This window comes from Homo sapiens, chromosome 17, assembly GCF_000001405.40.
Source record: "Homo sapiens chromosome 17, GRCh38.p14 Primary Assembly".
Lineage (NCBI taxonomy): Eukaryota > Metazoa > Chordata > Mammalia > Primates > Hominidae > Homo > Homo sapiens.
The window spans coordinates 7,960,761-7,968,486 of record NC_000017.11 but is presented as its reverse complement, the minus strand read 5'-3'; the positions used below and the strand labels follow the sequence as shown (position 1 = coordinate 7,968,486).

At 42.9% G+C, this 7,726-nt stretch overlaps 1 annotated feature.

The window, feature by feature from the left end:
• Nucleotides 449–649: a silencer, noted in NCBI's record as "peak2715 fragment used in MPRA reporter construct". NCBI's record gives its function as "represses an SCP1 promoter by STARR-seq MPRAs in K562 erythroleukemia cells {active_cell/tissue: K562}" and the evidence as "EXISTENCE:reporter gene assay evidence [ECO:0000049][PMID:32103011]".

Sequence of the window (7,726 nt, the reverse complement as noted above, 5' to 3'; positions counted from 1 at the left end):
GACCACTGACCAACATGGAGAAACCCCATCTCCATCAATAATACAAAAATTAGCCTTGCGTGGTGGCGCATGCCTGTAATCCCAGCTACTCAGGAATCTGAGGCAGGAGAATCGCTTGAACACAGGAGGTGGAGGTTGTGGTGAGGCGAGATCACATCATTGCACTCCAGCCTGGGCAACAAGAGGGAAACTCCATCTCAGAACAAAACAAAAAACAAAGCAAACAAACAAACAAAAAAACAACTATCCCTCGTTGGCCTGGTTCTGTCTCAAGTAGTTTTGCAACTCATGTAAGTGCAGTAGATAGTCTCCAAAGGTGGCTACTATTTGAGATAGGAAATATCAACACTTATGATGTTTCTGACACCAAAATATGTGTGTGTGTGTGTGTGTGTTGGAGTGAGAGGTCCCCACACATCAAGCAGTTCTGCAGCAGATACTAGCTGGGTGTCAATAATTCAATTCAATTCTGACACTATCCACTTGAAGATAGCATCAGATCCCAGACTGTCCAGCGGAGTTGAGGCTTCAGATTGGCTGACACTGCAAATCCTGAGTGAGAGTTATCAGGTTAAGTCCAGCAACCCACAGAACCATGAGCAACAATCACATATTTTTGCTGAAGCCACGAAGTTTTGGGGTGGTTTGTCACATAGCAATACATAGAGCAATATGTTATCCTGAGGCCAGTCACCTGACAACTGCCTGAAACCAGAGGTAATGGTTAGCAAAAACTTCTGTAACCAAATCTAGTGCTGTATACCAGGAACTAGTGATTTGTTTTATTACCTAAATTTAAAACCCCTTAATATGCCTCCCAGTTACCTGGTTCAAGACACCAGAAAAGAAAATGAGAGGAGGGTCCGGGTGCGGTGGCTCACGCCTGTAATCCCAGCACTTTGGGAGGCCGAGGCGAGTGGATCAAGAGGTCAGGGGTTCGAGACCAGCCTGACCAACATAGTGAAACCCCGTCTCTATTAAAAATACAAAAAAAATTTAGCCGGGCGTGGTGGCAGGCGCTTATAGTCGCAGCTACTCGGGAGGCTGAGGCAGGAGAATGGTGTGAACCCGGGAGGCGGAGGTTGCAGTGAGCCAAGTCGTGCCACTGCACTCCAGCCTGGGCGACAGACTGAGACTCCGTCTCAAAGAAGAAAAAAAAAAGAAAAAGAAAATGAGGGGAGGAGAAGAACAATGGAAAAATGGGAACAGGCTGGGCCCAGTGGCTCACACCTGTAGTCCCAGCACTTTAGGAGCCCGAGGCAGGTGGATCACCTGAGGTCAGAGTTCAAGACCACCCTGGCCAATATGGCAAAACCCTGTCTCTACTAAGAATACAAAAATTAGCCTGGCATGGTGGCGCATGCCTGTAATCCCAGCTACTCAGGAGGCTGAGGCAGGAGAATCGCTTGAACATGGGAGGCGGAGGTTGCAGTGAGCCAAGATTGCACCACTGCACTCCAGTCTGGACAACAGAGCAAGACTCTTTCTCAAAAAAACAAAACAAAACAAAACAAAAACAGAAGAAGAAGAAGAGTAGGAACAGCATAACAACATGAAAGCCCGAAAAATAAATACCTAAGCTTTCTTAAACAATACTTTACATCTATACTTACGTGATGTACCTCTATCATTAGTCATTGTGAATGACTGATGTTTATAAGTGACAGAAAAACAGAAATGAAAGACAATTCCAAATAACTGCAAATGTTATAATTAGATTACAAAAGAAATGCCTTTTTTTTTTTCTTTTTGAGGCAGAGTCTGTCTCTGTTGCTCAAGCTGGAGTTCCGTGGCACGATCTCGGATCATTGCTACCTCCGCCTCCTGGGTTCAAGCGATTTTCCTGCCTCAGCCTCCCAAGTAGCTGGGATTACAGGTGTATGCCACCATGCCCAGCTAATTTTTGTATTTTTAGTGGAGACAGGGCTTCACCATGTTGGCCAGGCTCATCTCGAACTCCTGACGTCAGGTGATCCACCTGAGGAGGCCTCAGCCTCCCAAAGTGCTAGGATTACAGGCGTGAGCGACCGTGCCTGGCCGAAATGCCTTATTTTAAACACTTAAGAAAAATAAAGTACATGTAATGTCAAAAAAAATTCCATTTATAAAAGCGATTAAAAAATCTTTAAAATATCTGAGAAAAGATTAACACAAAATGTTCAGGACTTATAAATTGTAAAATCATGAAGCTTTAAGAATAAAAACAGAAAGGGATGCATGGAAAGAAAGAACAAAAATGAGAAATGCACTATTATCAAGAGGAAAATTGTCCTAAATTAATTTGTATTATATCTTGTTTCTTTGATGCCTTCATTTATTATCTCTAGTAATTTTGAGGTGCTTTTCATTTCATTTGCATAACATGATCATTTTATTTCTTCCTTTTCTTTATGTATATCTTTCTTTCTCTTCTCAAATAGCTTTGTCAGAATTTTTAGAGCTACGTTGAATAGTAGTAATAAGATATCCTTGTCTTGTTCCTATTTTAAAGAGGAATAATTCATGTTCTCCATTAAGTGTAATTTTGACTTTTGGTTTTCAATAGAGCCTTTTTGTCATGTTAAAGAGGCAACCTTTTATTGCTTTTAGGGAGAGTTTCCATGAAGAATTCCCTCTGGCATTTGTGGAAATAATTATATGAATTTTTTCCAATAATATTATTGGTTATGTGGAAAATTGAGCTTTAGTGGGGGATGTTTATAAGTGACAGAAAAACAAAAATGAAAGACCATTTGAAATAAGTTCAAAAACAGAATTGGTTAAAAAGTACATGTTCTTTTTTTCTTCTTTTTTGAGACAGGGTCTTACTCTGTCACCCAGGGTGGACTGCAGTGGCATGATGATAGCACTGATCTCAATCTCCCGAGCTCAAGCAATCCTCCCGCCTCAGTTTCCAGAGTAGCTGGGACTATTTTTAGTACAGATGAGGTCTGCTATGTTGCCCAGGTATGGAACTCCAGAGCTCAATCGATTCTTGCGCCTCAGCCTCTCACACTTTTGGGATTACAGGTGTGAGCTACCACACCTTTAAAATTCCTTTAAAAATTATACTTTATTAAAATTTATACTATATTCTGATTGCTAAAATTTTATTTAGAATGTTTGCATATCTACTAATTTATGAGATTACCATGTAAACTATTTTTTATGCTGTTTCATTAGGTGTGATGATAAAAATCTGTTTCATCAAAGGAAATGAGACAATTTATTTAAAAGGTAATATAGGCCAGGTGTGGTGGCTCACGCCTGTAATCCCAGCACTTTGGGAGGCCGAGGCGGGCAGATCATGAGGTCAGGAGTTCGAGACCAGCCTGACCAACGTAGTGAAATCCCGTCTCTACTAAAAATACAAAAATTAACCCGGCATGGTGGTGCGTGCCTGTAATCCCAGCTACTCAGAAGGCTGAGACAGGAGAATTACTTGAACGTGGGAGGCAGTGGTTGCAGTGAGCCAAGATCACGCCATTGCACTCCAGCCTGGGTGACAGAGCGAGACTCCATCTCAAAATAAATAAAATAAAATAAAATACACTACAATATAAAGAGCAATAAAATTAAAAAAAATTTTTTTTAAACTCACTACATTGCCCAGGCTGGTCTCAAACTCCTGGCCTCAAGCAAGCCTGCCTCAGCCTCCCAAAATGCTGTGATTACAGGTGTGAGCTACCACGCCCAGCCTTTTAAAATATATATATATATAATGCTGGGCACGGTGACTCACACCTGTAATCCCAGCACTTTGGGAGGGCAAGGCAAATCACGAGGTCAGGAGTTCAAGACCAGCCTGGCCAACATGGTGAAACCCCAACTCTACTAAAAAAATACAAAAAATTATCCAGGCGTGGTGGCACGTGCCTGTAATCCCAGCTACTCGGGAGGCCGAGACAGGAGAATCACTTGAACCCAGGAGGCAGAGGTTGCAGTGAGCACAGATCTCACCATTGCACTCCAGCTTGGGTAACAAGAGTGAAACTCTGTCTCAAGAAAACAACAACAACAATAAAAATGTATATGTATATAATATAATAAATAAAAAATATGTAATACATTTGATATACATTGCTCTGTCACCCAGGCTAGAGTGCTGTGGTGCAATCATAGCTCACTGCAGCCTTGAACTCCTGGGCTCAAGCAATTCTCCTGCCTCAGCCTCCCCAGTAGCTAGGACTTCAGGTGCACACTACCACCTGAAAATTTTTTAAAGTCCAATTTCAATAGAAATAAAAGAAATAATAAATAAAACCATAAGGAGATACCAAAATTGACAACTTTTAAAATAATCCCAGTTCAGGATAAAAAAGGGATACATGGATGCTGGAAGTATAAATCAGTACAACCTTAACATTGTACATAAATACTTCAATCCAATGGAGCTTGGTGGAGGGGAGAGGATGATAGGGTACAAATGATATTTAGTTTATTCTTTCCTGCACTTTTTAAGTTTTCTTTTCTTTTTCATTTCTTTTTTTTTTTTTTTGAGGCAGAGTTTCACTCTTGTTGTCCAGGCTAGAGTGCAATGGCACGATCTTGGCTCACCGCAACCTCCACCTCCCAGGTTCAAGCAATTCTCCTGCCTCAGCCTCCTGAGTAGCTGGGATTACAGGCACCTGCCACCACGCCTGGCTAATTTTGTATTTTTAGTAGAGACGGGGTTTCTCCATGTTGGTCAGGCTGGTCTCGAACTCCTGACCTCAGGTGATCCACCCACCTTGGCCTCCCAAAGTGCTGGGATTACAGGCGTGAGCTACCACTCCCGGCCTAAATTTTCTACATATATAAAAATATATTACTTTCATAATAAAATATGCATATTCAAATTGAAACCTCAGTGCGATATCACTGCACAGCCACCAGAATGGCTAAGATGGGAAGCAACAACCATACTGAATGTTGGTGGGAACGGGGAGTAACTGGAACCCTCATGCATTACTGGGAGGTGTATAAATTGGTTCAACCACTTTAGAAAACCAAAGCTAAATCTAGAGCCACCAGCAATTTCACTCCTAGATAAATACTCAACAGAAACAAGAGCACATGTCCATCAAAAAACCTATACAAGAAGGCCAGACACAGTGGCTCACGCCTGTAATCCCAGCACTTCGGGAGGCTGAGGCAGAAGGATCTCCTGAGCTCAGGAGTGTAAGGCTAGCCTAGGCAACATGGCGAAACCCCATCTCTACAAAAAAATACAAAAACTAGCTGGGCATGGTGGTGTGCACCTGTAGTCCCAGCTACTTATGGGGCTGAGGAAAGGAGCGCTTGAGCCGGGGAGGTTGAAGCAACAGTGAGCCATGATCACACCACTGCACTCCGGCCTGGGTGACACAACGAGACCCTATATTAAAGAAAACAAACAAAAAAAACTGCACAAGAATGTTCATTGAAGTTTTAGTTGGAGTATCTTCAAACTAGAATGCCTGTTTTTTAGAACTCAAATGTCTATTTTGTTTTTTTGAGATGGAGTTTCACTCTTGTGGCCCAGGCTGGAGTGCAGTGGCGCGATCTTGACTCACTGCAACCTTCACCTCCTGGGTTCAAGCGACTCTCCTGCCTCAGCCTCCCGAGTAGTTGGGATTATAGGCGCCCACTGCCACACCCAGCTAATTTTTGCATTTTTAGTAGAGACAGAGTTTCACCATGTTGGCCAGGTTGATCTCAAACTCCTGACCTCAGGTGATCCTCCTGCCTTGGAAGGAAGGAAGGCAGGCAGGCAGTCCCTGCGTAGTGGCTCACACCCATAATCCCAGCTCTTGGGAGACTGAGGTAGGTGGATTACCTGAGGTCAGGAGTTCAAGACCAGCCTGGCCAACATGGTGAAACCCTGTCTCTACTAAAAATACACAAAAATTAGCCATGCATGGTGGCACATGCCTGTAGTCCCAGCTACTCGGGAGGCTGAGGCAGGAGAATTGCTTGAGCCTGGGAGACGGAGGTTGCAGTGAGCCAAGATCATGCCATTGCACTCCAGCCTGGGCGACAGAGTGAGACTGTCTCAGAAAGAAAAGAAAAGAAAAGAAAATGCTTAATGTCCTGAAAAATGTTCATCTTCACAATATAAATATATATTTAATAAATAGTATAAGCTAAAGGTGCAAAATAGTATACGTAAGTGTGAGTCCAAAAATGTAGAAAATAAAAGTGTATAAGCATAGGGAAAAAAAACTGTAAGAAGCAGACATACTACTGTATTGGTTTCGGCCCTGGAAATACAGGATATACATGGAAATGATTTCCACTAGTGTCCTCCTCTTCTAGAAATTGAATTGAGACCTGGGTTGAGCTTACCTCAGTGCTCTCTGAAACCTTAGGCTTTCTTTGTGACTTCTCTTCCGCAGCTCTAAGCCAACAAGCTCATACTGAGAAAATCATTATGAAGTATGATTGAAGCGGTCCTACTGCGGTGGGTTGTCTGAGACTGGAATCCCCCTGCGGGAACTAGAGTACCTAAATTCTACCTAAAATATCAAGAAGACTCTGAAGTGATTGCTTGCGTCAGGGAGGAAAAATGTCTTCTCCACCCTCTTAGATGCTGTTCTTGGGGGGCTGTGAATTAAACTGACAAAAGACAGATTAACAAAAGAAAAGATAAAGTTTATTCACATACTAGGAACCCACAAAGAAAATGACTTTATCCATAACTAAAGACAGGGATTTACAAGCCTACCTTAATAAGGGTAAAGGAGCAGGGAGGAAAAGGCTTCTACTGGAAGAACAAATGGGTTTATTTAGGAAAGACAAATGTATTTTTAGGAGAACAAACCAGGAGACAAGATGGTTCTTCATCATGTTTGTTTGTGGTCTTCTTCATCTTCTTCACAGCCGTGAAACTCCTCCAGAGAGGGGGCTAGTGGCAGTCTCACTCCCAGAAGTTTCTGCTTTTAGTCAGATAAGGGAGTATTCAGACAAAGCCTCTTTCTGCATCTGTTGATTCTCAAATGTCTTCAGGTCATAATAATTTTTACGACACAGTGGTATAATTTGGATCCTTTCCCTTGTATAGAAAGGTAATATTTTGAAATATTACTCACTTTTTTCCCCATTTTTCCTGTTAAAGCTTAACCCTTCCTCATTTACCTTTCCAAGTATTCTGAATTCACTGCCTCAGGGAAAATGTGGTACATCTAGGTGTATAAGAATAATTCCCTCTCTCTTTCTCTTTTTTTTTTTTTTAGAGACAGGGTCTCATTCTGTCACTCAGGCTGGAGTGCAGTGGCGCAATCACGGCTCACTACAGTCTCTACCTTCCAGGCTCAAACGATCCTCCCACCCCTACCTCCCAGAGGTGTGCACCACCACACCTGGCTAATTTTTGTATTTTGTTTTTAAAATTGGGGTGGGGGGTTCACTATGTTGCCCAAGCTGGTCTCGAACGCCTGTCTTGACTTCCCAAAATGCTGAGATTACAGGCGCGAGCCACAGGAAAAATTAAGTCTTCTGCTGGCTTTTAAACTTCCAAGGTCTAGGTCTGGTGGGACACAGGAAGGAACCTGGCAAATAGGATGTAAGGGCTGGGCTCTTGGCTCCCAAGACAGAAGACTGAGAGAAAGGGGTTGAATTTGTGTGGAATGCTCTCAACCCCACCCCCAGCATCAGCTGAACCTCAAGGTCGGGGCACAGAATCAGACACCGCTAAGTTTGAGGATCCTTGGGGTGGACCCCAAGATGGAAAAATACCCCAAAGCAGAAACGGCAGAGTGGTAACGGGGCAGAGGCCTCCCGGGGTCTG